Source organism: Homo sapiens, chromosome 21 (genome assembly GCF_000001405.40).
Source record: "Homo sapiens chromosome 21, GRCh38.p14 Primary Assembly".
NCBI lineage: Eukaryota > Metazoa > Chordata > Mammalia > Primates > Hominidae > Homo > Homo sapiens.
Window position 1 is genome coordinate 37,196,793 of NC_000021.9, and position 25,726 is coordinate 37,222,518.

At 45.2% G+C, this 25,726-nt stretch overlaps 1 protein-coding gene, 1 long non-coding RNA gene and 1 pseudogene across 11 annotated transcripts in view, besides 3 other annotated features; all 3 read left to right on the forward strand.

Moving 5' to 3' along the window:
* The window catches only part of TTC3 (tetratricopeptide repeat domain 3), a 129,865-nt gene extending 123,539 nt beyond the window's left edge, over positions 1 to 6,326 (forward strand). For 9 of the 10 annotated variants that reach the window (NM_001320703.2, NM_001353936.2, NM_001320704.2 and 6 more), the window contains 4 exons: positions 778 to 904; positions 1,090 to 1,233; positions 3,440 to 3,532; positions 4,648 to 6,315. In NM_001320703.2, coding sequence (NP_001307632.1) covers positions 778 to 904; positions 1,090 to 1,233; positions 3,440 to 3,532; positions 4,648 to 4,782 — 499 coding nt within the window. In that variant the 3' untranslated portion in view covers positions 4,783 to 6,315. Of the gene's footprint in view, positions 1 to 777; positions 905 to 1,089; positions 1,234 to 3,439; positions 3,533 to 4,647 lie in introns of all 10 variants that reach the window. The other variant, NM_003316.4, reaches the window with a different exon arrangement.
* Positions 10,375 to 11,211: an enhancer, noted in NCBI's record as "H3K4me1 hESC enhancer chr21:38579468-38580304 (GRCh37/hg19 assembly coordinates)". NCBI's record gives its function as "activates a minimal SCP1, AML or CMV promoter by ChIP-STARR-seq in primed H9 embryonic stem cells {active_cell/tissue: H9 hESC(primed)}" and the evidence as "EXISTENCE:reporter gene assay evidence [ECO:0000049][PMID:30033119]".
* Positions 11,510 to 11,699: an enhancer, noted in NCBI's record as "active region_18444". NCBI's record gives its function as "activates an Ori minimal core promoter by ATAC-STARR-seq in GM12878 lymphoblastoid cells {active_cell/tissue: GM12878}" and the evidence as "EXISTENCE:reporter gene assay evidence [ECO:0000049][PMID:35858748]".
* Positions 11,711 to 24,944, forward strand: DSCR9 (Down syndrome critical region 9). The gene is made up of 3 exons (NR_026719.2): positions 11,711 to 11,752; positions 11,862 to 11,964; positions 23,446 to 24,944. It is a non-coding gene; the product is annotated as a Down syndrome critical region 9 (long non-coding RNA).
* On the forward strand, positions 18,813 to 19,111 carry RN7SL678P (RNA, 7SL, cytoplasmic 678, pseudogene; annotated as a pseudogene).
* Positions 24,098 to 24,247: an enhancer, noted in NCBI's record as "active region_18445". NCBI's record gives its function as "activates an Ori minimal core promoter by ATAC-STARR-seq in GM12878 lymphoblastoid cells {active_cell/tissue: GM12878}" and the evidence as "EXISTENCE:reporter gene assay evidence [ECO:0000049][PMID:35858748]".

Genomic DNA, 25,726 nt, shown 5'->3' on the forward strand with positions numbered 1-25,726 from the left:
GAAGACTGGATGGAATTCCATAGTGAATGGGGCATGTGGACATGTTAACAAGGGGTCCTTGTGAATGTGGGAAAAAGCTGCCCTTACCTGAGTGAGCAAGAGCTGTAAATAGAGTTGGGATGATGGCAGGCTCTTCAGTAGCGTTTCTGCCTCCACCTCTGGTTTCCGCTGTTCAGGTTGTTACGAGGGGGACAGAGTTGCCTCTTGTCTCAGCTGTGAAAGATGATGAGGTAGAGGCGGTGTCTCTGAAGTGCAGCTCGGATCAAAGGACTCTATGCTCAGGAATGACCTTTGGCATGTGCCCTATTATTTCAGTTTCTGAGACAGTGTTAATTACAGGCTTCAAAATTGAAATTTGTAAACAATGGGGCAGTTAAAATATGATTAGCCAGCAGGCATGGTGGCTCACGCCAGGCCGAGGCAGGTGGATCACCTGAGGTCAGGAGTTCGGGACCAGCCTGACCAACATGGTGAAACCCCATCTCTTCTTAAAAAAAAATGGCAAAACTCGCTTGAACCTGAGAGGCAGAGGTTGCAGTGAGCAGGGATCGCGCCACTGCCCTCCAGCCTGGGCAACAGAGTGAGACACTGTCTCAAAAAAAAAAAAAAAGTTATGCTTTTTAGATAGTTATTGTTGTTATCAGTGGTCTTCAGATTAATTTTATGTGCATTTGTCTTTGTTTCTTTGGGTTGGGCTGTTGGATTAATATTGGCATGTAATATTTCTTAGCAGTAGAGAACTTTCTGTTGTCATTCATCACTCACTCTCCCTTTCAGCACTGAGCTTGCTGGTTTTATTAAAAAAGTGCGAAGCAAAAACAAGAACTCACTCTCAGGATTGAGTATTGATGAAATTGTCCAAAGAGTGACAGAACACATTCTAGATGAACAGAAAAAGAAAAAGGTATTTTATCTAGATGTTCCAGTTTATCCTTATTTATTTATAAAATATGAGAATTGTTAAAAAAAAAAAAAAGCTTCAAACCAAAACCTAGAGAGCAATGTACTAAAGACAGAAGATGGTCAAGTTGTTGGATAACTGGTTGCTTCCCTCTTGTCCCCTCCCCGCCACCCCTGTTATTTTCGCAGCCAAACCCAGGAAAGGACAAGAGGACTTATGAGCCCAGCTCTGCCACCCCCGTGACCAGGTCCTCCCAGGGCTCACCCTCGGTGGTTGTTGCACCATCACCCAAAACCAAGGGGCAGAAAGCAGAAGATGTCCCTGTGAGGATTGTATGTATAACTGTATAGTTTTGTTTTTTAATGAAAAACAAGAAGCAAACAAAATTTTTAATCCATGATTTAGCCCCATTCATTTCTAGACCTAATTTATTTGATCCCAACATTAGAAACTGAATTTCAATGTACTTGAATGTGTCCAGTTAGAGCAATCAGTGAATGGCCGAGGTCATGGTGTCTGCTGTGATACGTTTGGGCCCAGCATGGAGAGAAGCCCCTGCACATGAGTGACAAGGGCTCTGACCATCGTGGGGGATCTGAGCCTTCTCTCTCTTGCCCTTGTTTTGCTGCAGATGGTCAAGTACATGAACTTTGTACATCCAGTGTGGTATTTTGAACAGTTGGGGAAATCATTTTTGAATAATTTTCTTCTGTGTAACCATGGCTTTGGAATTACACAGATGTGTCAATGTGTCGTGTGGCCACACCCACCCCAAGATAGACCGTGATTGCCTGGAGAAGAGGGTTCTGTTTTTGCTTCATGATGGATGTTTGTAGTAACGAAGATATAAAAGCTGACTTACTGAAACTTCACCAGATTGTATGAGAAAGAAAAATATGTGTTCAAACTGGGACCTAATTTGATAACCATAGTTTGTTAAAATTAAAAGTATTAATTTTCAAATTACAAAGTATTACATACAATAGAAAATACAAATAAAAAGGGCATTTAAAAACCCGCCCTGTAATCAGTATTACCACTTTGGTATATATTTTTCTAAACTCTTGAATGCATGGATATGTGAATTAGTCAAAACTGAATACGCTAGTCACACTTTGTATGTTCTCTGAGGGGCTGAATGTTTTGGTTGTTTTCCATTTTTTTTTTTATTGTGGTTGTCCTTTTTTTCTTTTAGTTAGAAATATACTGTGCCCATCTTTTCTAGGAAATAGAAAACGGTCAAGTTAAGTGTATATTTTTTTCAAACTAAACCTGGCTCCGAGCTTTGCACTGGGCATTGGAGAGGCCTTCAATGGCTCTTCCCCGGTCTGGCACTTCCTCTTCTTCCCTGACCCTCGAGTCATGGGCAGCAGTGGAGGGGCATGAACCCTCCTTCTGCAGCATCTGCCCCATCTCCTCCTGGGCCGAGTCATGCCTTGGGAGAGACAGCAAAACCCTGAACAGCAGTTCAAGGTCTTCTCAGCCTTGGGGTGATGCCTCCAGTGCCACTCCCTGAACTTGATCCCACTGCCAGGGCTGCCTGCATTCGCCCACTCCCTCAGCAGGGGTTTTTAGAGCATGAGTTTGAGCTAGGTTTTCTGCCAGCTGCTAAAGACCCAGATGGGACTCATTTTGTGCCTTCAAGGCGCTCAGAGTTAAGAGGCAGTGAGCTAGAGTAGAAGTTAATGGTGCAGTAAGGGTAAGTGCTGTGAGCTGCAGGGAGAACTGTGCCTGGAGTCCCAGGCGACACTCAGGTCTGCTCTCACATCGAAAGCACTGTCTATGCTCACCAGACTGTGAGCCGCTGAGGCCAGAGCCCTCCATTCATCTCTGCGTCCAGCACCCGACACCAACCCTGCCCATGGATGTTTGCCGGATGAGCCATCCGTTTGTTTTGTTTTGATTTGCACAAGTAATCCATGCTCATAGAAACTAGAAAATAGTAAAGAAAAAGATTAAATCTCCCTTACCCTGAGGCAACCACTGTTAACTGTTTTTCTAGGCATGTATGTATACATGCAGCCCCTTTATTAAAAAGTGAGTTATATATGATACATGTTGTCTTGTTAGCTGCTTTCATTCAGCAGGCTGTTGGGGCCAGCTTTCTATGTCAGGGATTATGGGCTTCCGTCATGATTTTCCTTTTGGCTACACAATAGCCCATTGTGTGGATGTGTTGGAATTTACTACCCTCAACTGTTAGATGATTAAATGTATGATTAATTCACACCATGCCATGTGATTATCCCATACTGTACTTTAGGTATGGTAATCTTCACCTGGGGATCTTCTGGTCACATAAAACAGTTTTTTCTCTGAGGAAATTAGAACTTTATACTTTTCTTTTTGTATTTTTATATTTTTTCTTAAGAAATGCTATTAAAAAATAAGTTGTTTCCTCAGACTGTTTAGCTGTAATTGTGAATAATTTGCCACCCTTTGTGGCAGAAGATGTTTGAAGGCCACTTGAAGGAAGAACTCGTGTCATAAAAACAACTGTAGTTATTCTTTACTATTCAGGTGTGTTTGTTTCCACAGGCACTGGGTGCAAGTTCCTGTGAAATATGCCACGAGGTGTTCAAATCAAAAAACGTGCGTGTGCTCAAATGTGGGCACAAGTATCACAAAGGGGTAAGAGCTCTTTTTGGCCATCCTTACAGCATGCATTGGGACCTTCAAATATTTTCAAAATAAGAAAGGAATTGTTTTCTAGTCATCAGTATTTATTGTGCTTTCAAACTATTTTCTTTGCAAACCTCCCGTGTCAGTGTTCAGTGCCTCCCTGTCCTCACACCAGCTCTGCAGGAAGGGCAGCTCTGGAGACCGTCCTTTCCATCCCTTGTGGGGAGAGGGGAACAGCAGCTCCAGCCACTCGTTAGTGCTGAGATTCAAAGCAGTATTAGTTCCTTGAAAGGTGATTTCTTACACACTTGACTAAATGGAGAAACAGTGAAACCATTTTTTTGACTTAGTGTAGTATATGAAGTCAGTTTAACATTTTAGAGGAGAAAAACTAAACCTAGCTGAGTCCCTTCTGCCTGACCCAGGGACAGTCCTGCTCGTACCGTTCTGGGATCTGTGTGTGAACTATCATGGTGTTCTAGGTACCGTGAGCATTTGTGTGCACCCCTGCTGCTGGGTTAGAACAGATCAGGTCTCTGCCATGGGGATTTGCTAATCCCTTGGAACGGGATAAATACAGCATGCTCACTGAAAGGAATTGAGACCACTTGCCAAGTCTCTGGTGTGGTGTGCCTCCTTGGGTACAGGGTCTTATATTTGGGCTAGCTGACTGTCCACAGCCTCTGCAGTGTGGGCAGCAGCAGCAGGAGTGTGGCGTGCAGGCTGGAGGGCTGTTCCAGAGCCAAGGGCCAAGGCCAGGCCAAGGGATGGGCTAAGAATGAGTGATTGGGTCATAGGGCCGAGAATGCCAGGCTCTGGAATTTGGCGCAGCTGAAGTGGAAGAGCCGAGCCTGGAACCGGGGATCAGGGCAAGACCACCCCCTGAGGCCAGGTTGGAGGCCCAGAGCGCTCAGGATCTGACCCTGAGGTGGGATCGTTTGCGGCTGGGGCTTTGTCCACACTCTGGCCTGAGCGGGTGTTGGTGTCCCTGAGTATTGGGCAGCTCCAGGCCCAAGAGACCAAGGGCAAGTGAGCCACGCCTGCCAAGGAGCCCAGCAGCACAGGGGAGCTAAGCTTCCTCATGGTCCTGAAGGCATCTTCTGATTTTGTTTTCTCCTTTTCAGTGCTTTAAGCAGTGGCTTAAAGGGCAGAGCGCTTGCCCGGCCTGCCAGGGTCGTGATCTCCTGACAGAAGAGTCACCTTCTGGAAGAGGCTGGCCCAGTCAGAATCAGGAGCTGCCTTCCTGCTCTTCTAGGTAGTCACACTTCACTAAAGTGTCATCCACCAGTGTGTTGAATCCGAAGAATGACAATTTTCTACCACTGGTGTAAAAAACAAACATTTGAAGACCCTTGTGCATTGTGTGTCACAAAGCTAAATACATGGAAATCGTTAATATCGCTGATATTAAGTAATTTCCCCACTCTGAGTGAATACTTTGATGATTGCCAACAGTGGCTAATAAAATGACGGCTACCACACTCATGGGTCACTGGGGCTGCGCAGGGCTCTTTGAGGTGGGTGGCTTCTTTTGGAAAGTACTATGAACGTCTCGAAGCAGTATTCTAGTGATAAGAATTCTTAACATAGCCAAGCGCCCCACGTTTGTTCCCCACGTTTGTTCCCCTTTTCTGTTTGAAAAACCTGTTCTGGTAGCTCCACAAGAGAGATGATACTGACTTTTTAAATTTTTTACAAGAGTCTGTATTCCTGATATGCCTATATTTTTCCTCAAAGATTCTGCATTTTAAGGATGGGCATAAGCAAACTATATTTTAATAATTTATAGTTAATGTTAAAATATTGGCTGATTTAGACCAAAAGATTCAAATCTCCTCTTTGTGAAATCCCATCTGCATTTGATTTTTTATTATTTTATGTTCCCCCGTTAGATTGTTTTAAGTGTTTGCTTTTCATCTTTTATAGATGTAATCTGATTTTCAAAAATCATTAACACTTTTTAATTAGTATCGACTAAGACTTTTTCCCCCTGGAATCGAGGCTGTGTGTCCGTCATCCCAGCCCCCGGTTGGAGCCTGCTCTTTGAACTCCGCTGCCTTCCTTAGCAGCTTCTGTCCTCTTCTGTGAGTCAGTCAGCGAGTGCTTGGGATCCGCATCCAGCCGTGCTGAGCACACAACAGGCTGTGTGTGGAAATGGCCACCACCATTCTCCTTCCCCACCCCACCACAAAAAGAGAAGCTGTGTCTTTAGACAACCCTGAGGTATCTGTGTTACAATCGTTCTGTGTTTGATATTTGTGTAAAGTATGCATGCAGTCTTGTACTGTGACCTAAGAACAAAACTGTAACTGCATTAGAAACCATGAAAAAATTAGATATTGTTTTGTGACTTTTAGACAGTGGTAAATATAGAACCATGAATTCTGGTCACATTCCATTTCTCTCCAACATGAAGGATCAAAAAATGTTTTTCAATGTGTTCTTTGTTCCACTGGAAACTTAGAGTCATGAGTTTATGAGCTGATTTGGTCACCTTCCTCTGCCTTTGTTCACTGTGAGTTCTGATGTCTTAGTGACTTAGTTCTTAGAAGCTCACGCCTTAGTTTGAAACAGATTCTCCACGGTGGTCCCCAAAACACTGTCTGCATATCCATAAGAATTGAGCGCTATGGGTGTTAACGTGCATGAGGATCAGTTTGCAGCAGCAAGTACAAAAGGAGAAGAGGAACATCCGTTGAATGAGTGTGTTTTGTACATAACTTCAGATACTTGTGAACATGCCTTATATTTGTCCAACAACTGTCAGAATAAAGAACATTCTAAAATGAGAAGTTCACTGTCACTCTTGTCCATTCTTTCTTAGAGAAGTTTAAAAATGCATTCTTCTGGAAAACTTAGGACATGTATGTCATGCTAACATTTTAAGAGTGCTTTCGTCAGGAAAGAACAGCCACGCCATGCTGTGTCTGAGGAGTCTGACCAGGGATCTCAGGGCGTTTTAGGGCCTGGGTCAGAATTTTCCTTTGTGCCTGCGTAAGATCGACTATAGGAGTTCACACAGAGATGATAGAGTTTACTTCTTAAGGCTAAATTAAGAGATTTTTCATGTGAATACATATAAGGATGTTGAAGATAAATTGCATTCCTTGGTATATTTTTTGAGGCATTTGTGGATTTATGGGCCACTGAGGCTGTCGATGGGGTTTCCTCTATAGAGGGGCTTCTGGGTATGCTGAGCACTCACAGAGTGAAAGCTCATTTGAAGAAAGCTCATTTTCAAAATCTGTCTTCTGTTTTTTCAAGTGTATTCAAAGTATTATCAGTACGTATTTTTAGTCTGATGGCATTTAATTTAATTTAAAGCAATGACTATTCCTTAAGAATTTAGGCCGGCCGCGGTGGCTAACGCCTGTAATCCCAGCACTTTGGGAGGCCGAGGTGGGCGGATCACGAGGTCAGGAGATTGAGATCATCCTGGCTAACACAGTGAAACCCCGTCTCTACTAAATACAAAAAACTAGCCGGGCATCGTGGTGTGTGCCTGTAGTCCCAGCTACTTGGGAAGCTGAGGCAGGAGAATGGCGTGAATCCGGGAGGCGGAGCTTGCAGTGAGCCGAGATCGCACCACTGCACTCCAGCCTGGGTGACAGAGCGAGACTCCGTCTCAAAAAAAAAAAAAAAAAAAAAAGATTTTAGATTAGTTTTCCCTGCTGAACTGCTTAATCTATGTTATGAATAATGGATAGCCTGGTATAAAATTGAAGTGGTGCCCCAGCAATGCAAAATGTTACTACGGTTTTAAGGTAATCTCAAAGACTACAGAAGTGCCCCCACTTATTCGTGATTTTGATTTCCACAGTTTGTTACCCACGGTCAGCCGTGGTCTGAAAATAGGCAAGTACAGTGCAGTACAATAAGATATTTTAAGGGGGAGAGACCACACTCACATAATCTTTACTACAGTGTAATTGTTCTATTTTATTACTAGTTCTAGTTGTTCATTTCTTACTGTGCCTAATTTATAAATTAAACTTCATCATAGATACATATGTATAGGAGAAAACATTGCATATGTGGGGATTGGAATTTTCTGTGGTTTCAGGCATCCACTGGAGGTCTTGGAACATATCTCCCACGGATAAAGGATGTGTGTGTGTGTGTGTGTGTGCAGTCGCAGCAGGTGGTCAAAGTGCTCAACACACCACAAACTGAAGCAGTAAAACTATTTTAGAGTAGTTTTTTAGTCAGATGACTGGAGAAGGGAATTAAAGGAAACAGTAGAAGACACAATAGCAAAGATGGAAGTTCCTTCTGTCAGCCTGAGGTACTTACTCAGGAGGCTGAAAAAGCAGAGGCCGTAAAGTGATAGGATGGTTGGTCAGAATGAGGACCAAAAAGCATCTGCAGTATGACCTCAGAAAGAAAGAAGGTATCAGAAGGAGAAGCTGGGAGGGTATACAGATGAGTAAATTCCTGGTGAAGTGCTCAGCACAGTGCCTGCACACAAACTCGTGATAACCGGAGCTAACAACTAACTGTCACTAAGATTAAGGGCCTGGAAATTGCACAAGAAAGAGTAGGATAGTACAGTAGGAAAGCCGCCGTTAGTTAGGAAGTCCACTTCCTCAGTGTGGCCTGGATTGGAACACGATCCAGTGGTGAAAAGAGCAAGAAGAAATCAGATCACCTCAAAGTCGTTTTGGAAAATAACAGCTTTGTTCCTGAGATCTCCCTGAATTGACTTCAGGAATATTGTGATTCTATAGCAATGGATCATTTCACCTTTTGGCTTTCCCAAATTATCGGACTGAGCAGCTTTGAGTCAACCTTTCCTATCCAGTTTGGGTTGAGGATCAGGGCCCTGTGGTGGGCTCACTAGGGATATGCCCTGGAGCATCGGTGTGGCCAGGCAAGGCTCATTGTAGTGGAGGTGTGTAGTCCAGACTCCCTGGCTTAGGGTGAGAACTGTTACCATTTGTTCCATCATCGCCTCTACTTTTTTTTTTTTTTTGAGACGGAGTCTAGCTCTGTCGCCCAGGCTGGAGTGCAGTGGCATGATCTCCACTCACTGAAACCTCCACCTCCTAGGTTCAAGCGATTCTTCTGCCTCAGCCTCCTGAGTAGCTGGGATTACAAATGCACACCAGTACACCTGGCTAATTTTTATATTTTTAGTAGAGACACGGTTTTATCACGTTGACCAGGCTGGTCTGGAACTCCTGACCTCAGGTGATCCACCTGCCTTGGCCTCCCAAAGTGCAGGGATTTATAGGCATGAGGCACTGTGCCCAGCCCATTGCCTCCACTTTATACTGTCTCTTCCTATTCTCCCTTTAAAGGTGAAAAAAGATAAATATTAGCAAGAATGCAGAAACTAAACAATAGTAAACTAGAAAATCCTAATGAGTCATCCATTAATCAAGTCGGATTGATAAACCATCATGGCAAAAAGAGACTTTTAACTATGTTAAGAAGAATAATTTGGGGGCCAGGGCCTGGTGGCTCACATCTGAAATCCCAGCACTTTGGGATGCTGAGGTGGGCAGATTGTTTGAGCTCAGGAGTTTGAGACAAGCCTGGACAACATAGTGAAACCCCATCTGCAAAAAATGCAAAAATTAGCTAGGCACGGTGGCACATGCCTGTGGTCCCAGCTACTTGGGAGGCTGAAGTGGGAGGATCACTTGAGCCTGAGAGGCAGAAGTTGCAGTGAGCCGAGACTGCACCACTGCACTCCAGCCTGGGTGACAGAGTTACCCTGTCTCAAAACAAAAACAAAAACAAGATCTCCATATGAAAATAAATGAAGCTTGACCTCTCACAGCATATACAAATGTCAATTCCCAATGGATCACAGTCCTCAATATGGAAAGCAAAATAATGCAGCTTCTACAAGAAAACAGACAATCTTCCTGCCCCTGGAATAGGCAAAGATTTTAAGGAATCACTAGCTCCAAGAATAAAATGTTGATAAACTGGATTTTGGTCTGCACTAAGAACTCTTAAGTTGCTGTTGAGAGAGTGAAAAGGCAAACCATGAAGTGGAAGACGCTGGTAATCCACACTTCCAACAAGACTCCTCCAGAATGTACAAATAACTACAAATCAGTAAGAAAAAGATAACAATATATTAGAAATAGGCAAGAGATTTGAATAGGCACTTCGCAAGTATCCAGATGGTTTGTAGGCATTTTGATAGCCACATTTGTTCAAAATCAATCACCAAGGAAATATAAATTAGAACATTGCTGGCAGGGTGATAGGGTTTGGATTCGTGTCCCTGCCCAAATCTCACGTCGAATAGGAGGAAGGGCCTGGTGGGAGGTGATTGGATCATGGGGGCGGATTTCCCCCTTGCTGATCTCATGATAGTGAGTCCTCATGAGATCTGATAGTTTAGAAGTGTGTGGCATTCCCCTTTGGCTCTCTCTCTCCTGCCCCCATGTAAGTCATGCTTGCTTCCCCTTCACCTTCCTCCATGATTGTACATTTTCCTGAGTCTCCCAGCCATGCTTCCTGTTAAGCCTGTGGATCTGTGAGTCAATTAAACCTCTTTTCTTCATAAATTAGCCGGTCTCAGGTAGTTCTTTATAGCAGCGTGAGAACGGACCAATACACAGGGTATTTTAAGTTGTCTTGAAGTTTCCTGGTTCTAGCAGGTAGGACCATGTACTTAGCAAGGACCTGTTTTGCTGTTCTCTGGGGCATGGGTGAAGGTCTGGGGTGTGAGAGGCTACAGTGAGCTGTAATCACACCACTGCACTCCAGCCTGGGGGACAGAGTGAGACCCTGTCTCAAAAAACAAAAAAAAAAATTGAATCATGTATACACTTATATCAAAAACCAATGTACTCCTGATTACCTCAACTTATTATGTTGGGATTATTGAGGTCTATAGTATCTGTATGGTGGAAATACCGTATAATGCAACTCTTCCCAACTCTGTGTTTAGTGGGGTGACACTGGTAGCTTGAAATCAACCATCGTTGGAGTACTAACACCACAGTCATTGGCAAATGCTGTTTTGCTTCCCTGGAAAAGCTGGTAAAGCCTGGAGTTCTGCTGGTCTGGTGGTGCTGGTCTGGTGGTGCTTGATACCTTTCTCATTTCACATTTGAAATGGTGATTCAGGCACTCAGCAAACCCTGCTGGGATGATTTCTGCTGAGAGAGCTCCTTCCCATTGCTCTTTGGCTAGGGTCCTCACTTCCCTTGCCACCGCCTGGCCTTGCCTGGTTCTCTGCCATCCTGGAAAGGAGACACTGCTCTCTGCAGCGTCTCTGGCCCAGAGACAGGCCGAGTCTGTCATTGCATTAGCCTCTTAGTGGTTCCTTGGGGGCCACTCCCAGCAGAACCTCTGTCCCTGCCACAACAGGTCCTGTGCTACGAAACACCAAGGAAGTCCCCTTCCTGCCTCTGGCCAGGCCCTGCCTGAGAGGGTGCATGTGAATGCAAAGCAGGTCTGTTTCAGGAGTGCCCAAAAAGAAGCCACCAGGAGGACACCTCCATGCCAGAGGTGACTCATCTTACCTCCCAGAGGAAGGACTGGGGCCGGTCCCTTGGCCTTGCCAGGACAGCCTCCACAACGAGCAGCTGGTATGGTTACAGGGCTCCTGTGGCAGGCACTTTCAAAGAGACAAGCTTGCTCTCTGTAACATGTGCCTTTGTGTCAAACAGACCTGTCATTGTTTTCAGCAAATACCTTGGGACTTCAGTGCATAAATACCATTCTAGGTATTTTTCAGAAGTTGTGTATAAAGGCATTCTGCCTAATTCCTTCAGTCCTCTATTTCAGTTTCTATTTATTTGGTGTGATAGAAAGCTCTTAATTTAGATCTCCCCACCGCCAGTTCCAAGAAATCTGCCACCAGCTCCAAGCCTCATGTCCTGAAGTGCCACCTCATTCCCGCGGGGTGAGCCAGCAGCCTCTGAAAAGAGGAAGCCATTGAACAGATCACACTGTGCCTCCCGCCGCTGGCTGCCGCCCCAGCGCCAGCAGGACTCCGGCTTTGACTGGGGACTCACTGGAGGCCACATCGCTTTTGCTTCCAGTTTCCAAACTGCCACCACCTCGAAACTGCCAGACCTTTGAAAGCTGAGGCACAGTGCCTCACCCCTTCCTTCAGAAGACTGTCCAGCTCCCCCTCCTTCCCCTCCTCCCTCCCCCACTGGGGACCTCTCCTAGGGGAGGGGTCTGGTGTCCTCAGCTGGCTCCTCTCCACCTTCGCTTCTACCCGGGGGCTCCAGTGCATCTGGCTTTATCTCTGGGGTGAGCCATGCGGCCCTGGTCATCTGGACGGGCCACTGAACTCCACACATTCACCTGTTCACTGGCTCATCCATTCATTCATCTGGTCTCATGTGCTGCCCTGTTCTAGGTGCTTCCATACAAAGGGGACAGAAGAGATGATGGAAGGCCTCAGTACTGCAGGAGGGGAGACGGATGTCATCTACAATCACACAATACATGGGAGGTCACAGGTGATCCCGAGGAAAACGAAGCTGGGAAGGGGATGAGGGAGTCTCTTTGTCTAAACTTGACCCAGGTTTAGACAGAAGCCAGGAACGGCGTCATCTGAGTGCAGCCTGAGGGACGGGGGAGGAGGTAGGGGCAGGGGCGGGCAGTCAGGCAGAGAAGCCAGTGGAGCGATGCCCGCTAGGGTGTTTCCAGAGCCCGAGGAGGCCAGAGCCGCTCTTTGCCTGGAGGATTGTACAGAAGTGGGGATTCCCAGGGGGTGGATGGGGGTGGGGGCTGGGGGGCAGTGGCCTGAGCCTGGCAGCTCAGGGATTCATGCGGCAGGCGGTGCAGCTTGTTGGTCAACCTCATGAAATACTAGTTTTGCACGTGGCCTTAGACTCTGGGGACTTGGTCTGGGGCCAGGTAGGGGGCATTTCTGATGTGATGTCACCTGTGTTACTCTATCCGTCAGGGCCTTACGGAGCCCTTGCTTCCTCCAACACCCCCACCGGCTTTCTCCTGTGGCTTAAAATTGACCTAGTCAGTCCTGCCAGTGGGTCTACCCTGCAGGCCCATGGGAGCACCCATGGATCCCAGTCCTGGCCCAAGCACCTGCCCTCACTGCTACCCACCCCAAGCCATCAGCCTCATTCTCACTTTACCTCCTCACACCTGGTTTCACTGAAGCCTGGGCCAGCCCCCTCAACCCCTTCCCAAGCTCCCATCTACCCCTGCCACAGCCCTGCTCCCTGCAGCAGGGGCCTCAGAAGTTAGTCTCTTGGAGCGCTGGGGTTAAATGAATGTGCCTTGCACATACTAGCTGCTCAGTAAACACAAAAAAACTCAACCCAGGCTCCAGAACAAGAGCCACACCCCACAAGCTGGCTGTGGTGGCCTCTGAATCTGAATTCCCACCTCCATGTGACCTTCCTTAAGCCCCTCACTCCAGCCCTGCTCTTCACCATCTCCCAACATGATATTTACTAATGGTCATTTCAGGTACTGTGTTACCTGTCCACAAACATTGCAGCATTTAATTTCCCCAAGTACCCTATGAAGAAGAGATTACTCTTGCCTGCATTTTACAGACAAGGAAATAAACCTAAAAGGTTAAGTGATTTCCCCAAGGTCATGTAACTGGAAAATGTCAGGATTTGCACTTGCTAAGCCAACTCTCTCCTCTAGCCATTCTGCTTCTTCCTCTTAATACAAAACCCACTTGTCCCCCAAGGTTCAGCTCAGGTTCCCATGCCAAAACCAAACCTTCTTAGGCATGCAGGTGGCAAAAGCCTTGGAACCCCTGTTTACTACTGCTCACCCTCACACCACGGCTGCAGTGGCTTTCCCCTTCACGTTTGCTCATGAGGCTGATGCAGGGCAGGTGAGACCCAAAATCGGGGCTTAGCCCGGGAGGGTTCTTGGCTTCACCCTGGAAAGAATTCAAGGGCAAGCTGGTGGTGTTAAGACAGCAATTTTTATTGAAGCGGCCATGCATAGCGGCAGCACAGGTGCTGCTCCCTGCAGAGCAGGGCTACCCCATAGGCAGTGCGTCCAGAGTAACAGCTCAGAGGCAGTGCTGCAGTCCTATTTATAGCCACTTTTAATTATATGTAAATTAAAGGGCAGATTATGCAGGAGTTTCTAGGAAAAGGGTGGTAACTTCTGGGTTGTTGAGTCCTTGCCATGGGAAGGGGAAGTAATGTCCGGGTGTTGCCAAGGCAATGGTAAACTGACATGGCACACGAGTGAATGTGTCTTATGGACGGTTGCTTCTTTTTAGGACTTTATATATTCTAGACACAAGTCATTTGTCGGATGTGTTTTGTAATTTTTCTTCAAGTCTGTGGCTTGCATTTTCATTTTCTTAACAGTATTTTTTAACGGTCTTTTGAAATTTTGAGGAAAAGTCTTCAATTTTGATGAAGTCCAATTTATTATTTTTTTCTTATTATTTTTATACTTAGTTTTTTTTTTATTTAAAAAAAATCAGCAAGGCTGGGCATGGTGGCTTGTGCCTGTAATCCAGTACTTTGGGAGGCCAAAGTGGGTGGATTACTTGAGTATAGGAGTTTGAGACCAGCCTAGGCAACACAGCAAGATCCCCCCCTCCCCATCTCTTTTTTCAGAAGAAGAAGGAGAAGGAGAAGAGGGAGAGGGAGAGGGAGAGGGAGGGGGAGGGGGAGGAAGGGAAAGGGTGGGGAGGGGGAGGAGGAGGAGAGAAGGAAAGAAGAAGGAGGAAACAAATCTGCCAAACCACCCAAAGTCAATAAGATTATTCTTCTCAAAGTTTTTTAGTGTTCTTACATTTAGGTCTCTGATCATTTTCTAGTTGATTTTTGTATGTGCTATATCATGAGGATTGAGGTTCACTTTCTTTTTGCATATAGTTAACTGGTTATTTCAACTTGGAGCCTTGAAATCATGTAGCGTAAGTCCTCTAATTTTGTTCTTTTCCAATTTTGCTGTTGACTATTCTATTTATTGCCATATTAATTTTACAATTAACATCAATTTTTACCAAAAAGTCTGCTTGGATTTTGATCTAAGCATCTATAGATCAATATAGGGAGACTTGACACCTTTACATGATTGAATCTTCCACTCTGTGAATATGGAATATCTCTCCATTTATTCAGGTATTCTTTAATTTCTTTCAGGAATATTTTGTAGTTTCTGGTGTACACATCTTTCAATCTTGCACATCTTTTGTGAAATTCATCCCTAAGTATTTTCTATTTTTGATGCTGTTAACAATGTTTACTTTAATTTTAATTTCTGATTGTTCATTGCTAGGATATAAAAAAGCAATTGGTTTTTGTATATTTATTTTATATCCTGCAACCTTGCTAAAGCCACTTATTGGTTCTAGTAGCTTCTTTTTATGGATTCTGTAGAATTTTCTACATAAATAATCATGTCATCTGAGAATAAAGATAGTTTAAATTCTTTCTTCCCAATCTGGATGCCTTTTATTTCTTATCTTACTGAACTACATACAATGCAATTAAGTCCAAATGTTGAATAGAAGAGATGAGAGTGGGCAATTTTACTTCATTCTTCATCTTAGACTGAAAGCATTCAGTATTTTACTACTAAGTATAATGTTGATTGTAGATTTTTTGTAGATGCCCTTTAGCAGGTTGAGGAAGTTCTTTTATAGTTCTAATTTGCTGAAAGTTTTTTTTAAATCAGAAGTCAATAACAGATTTGTCAAATTTTTTCTGCAATTTGGATGATTATATGTATCAAATTTTAAGTTTTCCTTGTTTAATCTGTTAATATGATAAATTATTTTTAAATGTTAAGCCAACTTTACTTTCTTGGGATAAACCCCACTTGGCCATCCTTTTTATATTATTGTTGAATCCAATGTTCTAATTTTTGAAGTGAATATTATTTTAAATTGACAAATCATAAGTGTATATATTTATGGGATACATTGTGATGTTTTGATATGTGTATACAATGTGGAATAGTTAAATCAAGCTAACAAATATATCCACCAACTCACTTATTTTTTTGTGGTGATACATCTGAAATTTACTCTTTTAGCTATTTTGAATATACAATGCATTATTAACTGTAGTCACCCTGCTGTGCAAATAGATCTTGAACACTTATTCCTTCTGCCTAACTGAAACTTTTTACCCTTTGACAACGTATTTCCATTCTCTCTCCTGTCCCTACTCCCCAGCCTCTGGTAGACACCATCCTATTCTCTACTTCTATGAGTTTGACTTTTTTAGATTCCATATGCAAGTAAAATCATGTGGTATTTGTCTTTCTGTGACTGGCTTACTTTTTTTTTTTTTTTTTTTTTTTTTTTTTTTAAATGAGACAGAATCTTGCTCTGTCTCCCAGGCTGGAGTGCAGTGGCATGATCTCAGCTCACTGCAACCTCTGCCTCCCAAATAGCTGGGACTACAGGCGTGCGCCACCACACACGGCTAATTTTTGTATTTTTGGTAGAGATGGGGTTGGTCTCAAACTCCTGACCTCAAGTGATCCACCCACCTTGGTCTCCCAGAGTGCTGGGATTACAGGTGTGAGCCACCATGCCCAGCCCGACTGGCTTAACATAATGCCCTCTAGGTTCATCCATGTTGTCATAAATGACAGAATTTCCTTATTTTTTTTTCCATAAGAGACAGCCTTAAATAAAAAAGAAAGAAAGAAAGGGAAAGAAAGAAAGAAGGAAAGAAGGAAAGAAAGGAAGGAGGGAAGGAAGGAAAGAAAGGGAAGGAAGGGAAGGAAGGGCCCTTTTTTTTTTTTTTTTTTTTTTGAGACAGAGTCTCGCTCTGTTGCCCAGGCTGGAGTGCAGTGGCGTGATCTCAGCTCACTGCAACCTCTGCTTCCCGGCTTCAAGCAATTCTCTGCTTCAGCCTCCTGAGTAGCTGGGATTACAGGTGCCCACCACCACGTCAGGCTAATTTTTTGTATTTTTAGTAGAGACAGGGTTTCACCATCTTGGCCAGGCTGGTCTTGAACTCCTGACCCCATGATCCACCCACCTCAGCATCCCAAAGTGCTGGGATTGCAGGCATGAGCCACTGTGCCCAGCCAGAATTTCCTTCTTTTTAAAAGCTGAATAGTATTCCATGGTGTCTATAGATGTATCATATTTTCTTTATCCATCCATCTGTTGATGGTCACCCAGGTTGATTTCATATCTCAGCTATTGTGAATAATGATTCAGTGAACATGAGAGTATGCCCGGCCTCTTTCACTATCAAAAAGATAATAGCCATTGTAACAGGTATAAGGTGATATCTTTGTGGTTTTAATTTGCATTTTCCTGGTTGGGCGTGGTGGCTCATGCCTGTAATCCCAGCACTTTGGGAGGCTGAAGCGAGTGAATCACTTGAGGCCAGGAGTTCGAGACTAGCCTGGCTAACATGGTGAAACCCCATCTCTACAAAAATTACAAAAATTAGCTGGGCATGTGGGCCGGGCGCGGTGGCTCACGCCTGTAATCCCAGCACTTTGGGAGGCCTAGGTGGGCGGATCACCTGAGGTTGGGAGTTTGAGATCAGCCTGACTAACATGGTGAAACCCTGTCTCTACTAAAAATAGAAAATTAGCTGGGCATGGTGGCGCATGCCTGTGGTCCCAACTAATTAGAAATAGTTGTTTCCAATTTCTAATTTTTAAAAGTTTTTTGCATCCATGTCCATGAAGAATATTAATCTATATTTTCTTATATTGTCTTTCTTTGACTTTGATAACAAGGTGATTTGGCTTCATATAATGAACCCAGACATCCTTCCTTCCTCCCTCCCTCTCTCCGTTTCCCTTCCCTTCCCTTCCCTCCCCTCCCCTCCCCTCCCCTCCCCTCCCCTCCCTTCCCTTCCCTTTCCAACAGGGTCTCGGGCCGGGTGCAGTGGCTCACTCCTCTAATCTCAGCACTTTGGGAAGCCGAGGTGAGTGGATCACGAGGTCAGGAGTTCAAGACCAGCCTGGCCAAGATGGTGAAACCCCATCTCTACGAAAAATACAAAAAAATTAGCCAGGCGTGGTGGCAGGCATCTTTAATCCCAACTACTTGGGAGGCTGCGGCAGGAGAATCTCTTGAACTTGGAGGGCGGAGGTTGCAGTGAGCCAAGATTGCGCCACTGCACTCCAGCCTGGGTGACAGAGTGAGACTCTGTCTCAAAAAAAAAAAAAAAAAAAGACAGGGTCTCACTCTGTCGCCCAGGCTGGAGTGCAGTGGTGCAATCCCAGCTCACTGAAGCCTCAACTTCTCAGGCTCAAGCGATCCTCCCACTTCAGCCTCCTGAGTAGTTGGGGCTAATTTTTTTTTTTTTTTTTTTTTGTGTGTGTACACAAAGTTTCTCTATGTTGCCTAGGCTGGTCTCAAACTCCTGGGCTCAAGTGATCCTCCTGCCTCAGACTCCCAAACTGCTGGGATTGCAGGCGTGAGCCACCACACCTGGTTTGGTATTCTTTTCTCTGTGATTTTCTGAAAGAGTTTGTGTGGAATTGGTATTATTTCTTCCATAAATTTTGTTAAAAGTCATCACTAAACCCATGTGGGCCTGTAATGTTGGGTTTTCATTTTGGTTAAGTTCAAAATATTTCCTAATTTTGATCTTCTCTTTAACCCATGAGTTATTTAAAAGTATGCTATTTAGTTTCCAAGTATTTGGAGAGTTTTCAGATATTTTTCTGTTACTAATTTCTAATTTAATTCCAAGAGTCAGAGCATATACTTTGTATAATTCAAATCCTTTTACAATTATTAAGACTTTGAGTTGTTTTATAGTCCACAGTATAATCTATCGTGGCAAATGTTCATGTGTACTTAAAATATGAATTCTGAGCCGAGCGTGGTGGCTCATGCCTGTAATCCGAGTATTTTGGGAAGCCAAGCAGGGCAGATTGCTTGAGGTTGGGAGTTCGAGACCAGATGTTGTGCAATGTGCCAGACAGTCCCAGAGAGCGAAGTCTGATTCTGTGCTCGGTAAGACTTTCCAAAGTCCCACTGACCTCCACCTACATCCGTGCTGCTGCCCAGTGATGTGAACTGCATCTATAATTTTTTTTTTTTTTTTTTTTTTGAGATGGAGTCTTGTTCTGTCGCCAAGGCTGGAGTGCAGTGGCACAATCTCAGCTCATTGCAACCTCCGCCTCCCAGGTTCAAGCAATTCTCCTGCCTCAGCCTCCCGAGTAGCTGGGATAACAGGAGCCCACCACCACGCCTGGCTAATTTTTTATATTTTTAGTAGAGACAGGGTTTCACCATGTTGCCCTCCTGGCCTCAAGTGATTCACCTGCCTTGGCCTCCCAAAGTGTTGGGATTACCGGCATGAGCCACTGTGCCCGGCCCATAATTTTAAGATTTCTAAGAGCTGAATTTGAAAAGTAAAAATGAGCTGAGTGCGATGGCAGTCACCTGTAGTCTCACCTACTTGGGAGGCCGAGGCAGGAGGATCCCGTTAGCCTGGGAGTTCTGGGCTGTAGTGTGCTGTGCTGATTGAGTGTCCACAGTAAGTTCAGCATCAATATGGTGACCTCCTGGGAGTGGGGGACTACCAGGTTGCCTAAGGAGGTGTGAACCGGCCCAGATCAGAAATGGAGCAGGTCAAAACTCCCATGCTAATCAGTAGTGGGACTGCACCTGTGAATAGGCGCTGCATTTCAGCCTGGGCAACATAGCGAGACTCCCTCTCTAAAAAAATAAAAAATAAGTAAAAATAAAAAGTAAAAATGAGGAAATAGAATTTTAGAAATAGAATATAGAATTATATTTTGTTTAATCTAGTATATCTAAAATGTTTAAAAATAAAATCAATATAAAATTATTGTCATTATTATTATTATTATCTGAGTTGGAGTTTTGCTCTTGTTGCCCAGGCTGCAGTGCAGTGGCGTGATCTCGGCTCATTGCAAACTCTGCCTCCCAGGTTCAAACAATCATCCTGCCTCGGCCTCCAGAGTAGCTGGGATTACGGGTGCCCGCTACCATGCCTGGCTAATTTTTTTTTTTTTTTGTATTTTTAGTAGAGACGGGATTTCACCATGTTGACCAGGCTGGTCTTGAACTCCTGACCTCAGGTGATCCATCTGCCTTGGCCTCCCAAAGTGCTGGGATTACAGGCGTGAGCCACCACGCCTGGCCTAATGTAAAATTATTAATGAGGTATATTACATCTTTTTTTTTTCTCATCCCAGGTCTACAACATCCAGAGCAGCCACATTGCAAGTGCTCAGTAGCCACATGTGGCTGGCACATGTGGCCCATGGCAACTGTGCTGGACATGGTGGGTCCAGACCTCACTTCATTTTATGTATAAACACCAAGTATCTTGTGAGCTTTACTGTACGTGAATTTCTCAGGAATGCTGTAACTGTGCACATTGAGGTTTGAGGTTTGATTGCCCTTTTGTTGTTTTTTTCTGAACGTTACTAAGGGTTGTTCATAATTTTGGAAGGTAGTATTATCCAATAGCCCCCGCCCCCTCCGCGTCCGCAGTGTGAGTCCCCTGCACAACATGCACTGAAGCCTCTGCATTTGTAGCTCTCACATTCATGGTGATTCTACCCGAGGCCATGCACTGAATATGTCAGTATCACGGCTTGATATCTTCCAGTTTAGCTGTGCCTGAGTGTCTATGTACTGAAATCTGTATTATTTTATAATACATTTCTTTGTTTTTTGAGATGGGGTGTCACTCTGTCGCCCTGGCTGGAGTGCACTGGCGTGATCTAGGCTCACTTCAACCTCCGCCCCCTAGGCTCAAGTGATCCTCCCACCTCAGCCTCCCGAGTAGCTGGGACCACAGGCACACGCCAGCACGCCCAGCTAATTTTTTGTATTTTTGGTACAGATGGGGTTTCGTCTTGTGCCCAGGCTGGTAAAATACATTTCTTTATATTTATTTATTTATTTTGAGATGCAGTCACTCTGTTGCCCAGGCTGAAGTGCAGTGGCGCGATCTCGGCTCACTGCAAGCTCCGCCTCCCTGCAAGCTCCGCCTCCCGGGTTCACGCCATTCTCCTGTCTTAGCCTCCTGAGTAGCTGGGACTACAGGCGCCCACCACCACGCCCGGCTAATTTTTTGTATTTTTAGTAGAGACGGAGTTTCACCGTGTTAGCCAGGATGGTCTCGATCTCCTGACCTCGTGATCTGCCCGCCTCGGCCTCCGAAAGTGCTGGGATTACAGGCGTGAGCCACCGCACCCAGCCAATTGTGATTTCCTTTGTTGCTATGCATGTAACTGATTTTTGCAGTTTCCATGGATTAAAAAACATGTATTTGCTACCAGATATAAAGGAAAATCGTGGTAAAAGTACACTCACTTCTTAAGCATATCTTTTTTATGTATGGGATTTTGCTTTTTTGTTTGTTTTGAGACAGAGTCTCACTCTGTCACCCAAGCTGGAGTGCTGTGGCGTGATCTCAGCTCACTGCAACCTCTGCCTCCTGGGTTCAAGCAATTCTCATGCCTCAGCCTCCCAAGTACCTGGAATTACAAGTGTGTACTACCATGCCCAGCTAATTTTTCTATCTTTTTTTAAGTTAGAGACAGGGTTTCGCCATGTTGGCCAGGCTGGTCTCAAACTCTTGGACTCAATTGATCCGCCTGCCTCGGCCTCCCAAAGTGCTGAGATTACAGGCATGAGCCACTGCGCCCAGCCATGTAGGGGATTTTGAATTCAACTTTGAACTTGTGTTTTCTTAATACATATTGGTGTCGAAAATTGTTTTAAAACAAACATGAATATTTAAGATTTTAGTTTTTTGCTCCTTTCTCTCACCTTTCTGCAGCTAAGCCTGGGTGCATCCTTTTTTGGTGTATCATGCGGCAGTACATCTGGGCTCCTGGCCCAGCCTCCCCAGGTGGCCCCATCAGAGGCTATACATCTGTAGACAGAAAAGCTGGTCTCCTTCCTTTCACTTAAGACCCAGAGGTTGTGGTCTAGTTCTTGAAGGTCTAGTCCTTGACCCAGGTGGGGGACAGTGACCTCTGAGAAAGGAAGTGACCACACCCTGCTTTATGGGGCCTTTGCTGACCAAACCCTACCTCTCATAATGCTTTTCGTTTGAGTTGCTTTGTCCCTAAGTCTTCATGCTCAGCCTCCTACCACAGCTGGACGTTTGTAAAGGGAACCAGAAACATCTTTTGGGGAAATGACAGTTGATGCAGATGACAGTAAACCATAAACTTTTGGTATTATCCTGACCCTTAGTCCTGATCAAGCTGGCACTCCCCAGAATGCGACAATATACAGACATAGGCACAAATTCTGTTTTCATACTTTTCTAAGTACTTAAAACCTCCACAGCATATGTCTTTTGTATGTTATACACAAGACTGTAAAGAGACTGGCTGGGGTTGGACATGAAAAGCCCTACAAAGTCAGAATCCTGCCGGCCTGGAGCGGGGTCTATCCAAGGGATTCCATCTTACCAGTGACATTCATAGAAAAGCACAGTAAAGCACAGGAGATCCTTGCTGAGTTTTAATTCCTCAGTCTGCCTTTCTGCATCTTTTGAGTGATACACTCTAATAATTTGACTGCATTTTGTGTGAGTATAGCTGGATCCGCTTTGATTCTACAAATTAGGTGCCCTTCTGTTTCTTAGTAATGTCATATTCTCTGACCACTGTAGCCACTTAAGATAGTCTCAAATATGAATAATTTTCAGTGGCCATAGTGGAGAAGATGCTGACCCAGGAGGCTTATTCTCACCTCCACCTCTTAGACTCACATGTATGATTTTTTTTTCTCCCTACCAAAGTGGCTAGTTTTGACAGCCTTTAGGTTGCAGAACTGTTTATATTCGAAAGAAGACCTTACCTTCATAGAGCATTTTCCCGGGCAGTTGTTCTGCTTTGTGTTTTTAATATCTACTCTTATTCGGAGTCCCAAAATGAGTTAGCTTGGGTAGCTCTCACAATGAAAACTGATTTCTTCGCATAAAACTTTATTCTACCTTTTTGAAAACCAGCTGGAAATGATGAATGGTGGCTTCAACAGTAATGGTTCACGAAGAACTGATCGTGTCCCCATCAATGAGGTCTTACCCATGGCAGGGCAATGGCGGTCTACTGTAATTCTGTGTTGGTTGTAGTAAGTTGGGGGAATATCAGGCCAAGAATCAACAGAGCTACGTGGCTTAGGCAGGTCAGTTTCTCTGTGCCTCAGCCTGCTCACCTGTGAGATGGGAATAATAAACACCCCTCAGAAGGTATTGTGAGGTCATTCACTAAAGGACATTTCAGTCCTTTGAATGGGTCTGGAACATACCCTAGTATTTTTACTCTACATAGAAGAAATCAGTCCTAGAATATAATTAGATCGGACTTTCTGGTCCTTTAATCACTCGCCTCCTTCCTAAACTGGATCCAGCTGCAAATGATTGCGTTAGTCTCAGGACTTCATTTTCATTTGACTCAGCTGATCAAAACTGAGACCATTCTGAGGCAGGAGAATAGGGTCTGGAGGCAGTAAACCTAAGCCCAATTCACGCTGACTTCCTAGAACTAAATCAAAAGGAAAACCCCAACTTTCCACATCCAAGTAACAAAAGGACCAGAGGCTACTCCCTCTGCAACCCCCCTTTTTCCACGTGGCAGATAAACTCTAAGTACCTTTGATTGGTCCCCTCCCACAGCCAATGAGGCTGTTCACAGGTCAAGACTTCATTTGCATGGGAGTATAACTTTGTAACTTCAGCCTCTGATTGGTTGCTTTCTGCAACTAATCAGATGTTTGCATAGGGTATAGCTTTATAACTTCGCTTCAGCCTCTGGTTGGTCCTCTCCTGCAACCAATCAGACTGATTATGGTCCACTACTTCATTTACACAAGGTGTACACCAAGTAACCAATGGGAAACCTCTACAGGGTATTTAAATCCCAGAAAATTGTGTCACCGGGCCCTTCAGCCTCATGGGCTGCTCCCACCTTGTGGGTGTACTTTCATTTTCAACAAATCTCTGCTTTTGTTGCTTCCTTCTTTCCTTGCTTTGTGTGTTTTGTCCAATTCTTTGTTCAAGAACGCCAGGGTGACGTAACAATTCAAACCATGAAGAGGTAACAGAGCCCTTCGCGCGTCTCAACACGTGGTGACGCAGCTAATAACCTGTGATGCATACATGGGAACAAATGCATAGAAAAACTTGTCAATGACACGGCAAAGTAAAACCCAAATGAAGCGAGGTGAAAGAATGGGCTGCAGCGCAGGCAAAACTGCACCACGTTACAGACTGCTCGCCTGGGATGGAACGGTGGGGAGGTGCGCAGACGGATGGACAAGCGCCTGGCAAAATGGATTTCTTTTCCTAGACTGCTAATGCTACTAACAGTTCCCTCCTCACAGGGTCGCTATAACGAGGTAACATACAGCACTTAGAAGACGGCCTGACCCAGAATAACACTAATGTTCACATGGCTGCGAGTCTCAGACCAAAATCAATAGCCGGTATCTACTGAAACTGCAGCAAGGCGAAACCACGGGAATGGCGCTCCGTTGAGTAGAGCAACGCACAGCACATCACATCGCATCCTCCGTAGCGGGAGGCTCTGGCCTCACCGCAGCGGCACTTCCCGGAAGAGCCCAGGATATTCGGGGACCCGCACCGGACAGGCGGCCCAGGCCCCCTGGCGCCCAGCTGGCCGCCCTGTTGCAGCTCTCATGCCAAGACCTGCGCCTAACGGCAGGGATTCCGGCGGTCATCATTTATTCTTGGCGCTAAGCTGCCGCTTCTCTTTTTTATCACCACAGAGTAACGCAGACCCCACCGTTTCCTTCCATTCTGAGCCAACCACTCCAGCAGCCACCGGGGCGCCAGGTTATGCTGGGGCTGCACCACCCGGCCCGAGGCTTTTGAAGCCACGCCTGAGCGCGGAGGATGGGCAGGATTTGCCCCGTGAACTCCCGCGCACGCAGGCTCCGCGCGAGGCCCGGGCGCCCGAGCGGCGATTCCCTCCCCTATCACCAGCTCCAGGGTGGTGCCCCCCGGCTGTGGAGCCCAGACCCCGGCCGTCCAGCAGCGTATAGACGAGCCCATGTCTGCGATGTAACTGCACCGCGCTGGGGATCCACCTCCCGCCAGGGTGAGGGCGCCGTCCTCCAGCGTATGCTAGGCAGGCGCGCCCCGCCCTCCTGGTCACGTGACCACGCCTACAGCCGAAGAGGATGGGAAAATGCGGCCCTGTTCCTGAACAGGAAGCGGAAGCAGGAAGGAACTGAGAACACCAGCATCTGCTGCCGCCCTGAATCAGCGTTAGCATGTGGAGGCAACCTCAGCCCCCAGTTTTTGAAGAAGGTGATTCAGATTCAGACACAGGAATTATGGTGACGGTAGAAATGGACTGGAAGGTTCGTTCCCCTTGCCCACCAAGACTCCAGAGCAGGTGGGTTCTTGATGTCTACTCTGCATGAAGCCCTGGGCTTTCCGGCCCTCCCTACTTTTCCTCCGAATTCACAGCACAGCGGAGCCAAAATGTATTCCTGCCAAAACGGGCATTTCCCAAAAGAAAATATTGTTTTAGATTCATTGTTCACAGCCTCTTTTTTTTTGTTGTTCATTTGAAGCAATTTTTCTTTTTTATTATTATACTTTAAGTTTTAGGGTACATGTGCACAGTGTGCAGGTTAGTTACATATGTATACATGTGCCATGCTGGTGCGCTGCACCCACTAACTCGTCATCTAGCATTAGGTATATCTCCCAATGCTATCCCTCCCCCTCCCCCCACCCCACAACAGTCCCCAGAGTGTGATGTTCCCCTTCCTGTGTCCATGTGTTCTCATTGTTCAGTTCCCACCTATGAGTGAGAATATGCGGTGTTTGGTTTTTTGTTCTTGCGATAGTTTACTGAGAATGATGATTTCCAATTTCATCCATGTCCCTACAAAGGACATGAACTCATCGTTTTTTATGGCTGCATAGTATTCCATGGTGTATATGTGCCACATTTTCTTAATCCAATCTGTCATTGTTGGACATTTGGGTTGGTTCCAAGTCTTTGCTATTGTGAATAATGCCGCAATAAACATACACGTGCGTGTGTCTTTATAGCAGCATGATTTATAGTCCTTTGGGTATATACCCAGTAATGGGATGGCTGGGTCAAATGGTATTTCTAGTTCTAGATCCCTGAGGAATCGCCACACTGTCTTCCACAATGGTTGAACTAGTGTACAGTCCTACCAACAGTGTAAAAGTGTTCTTATTTCTCCACATCCTCTCCAGCACCTGTTGTTTCCTGACTTTTGAATGATCGCCATTCTAACTGGTGTGAGATGGTATCTCATTGTGGTTTTGATTTGCA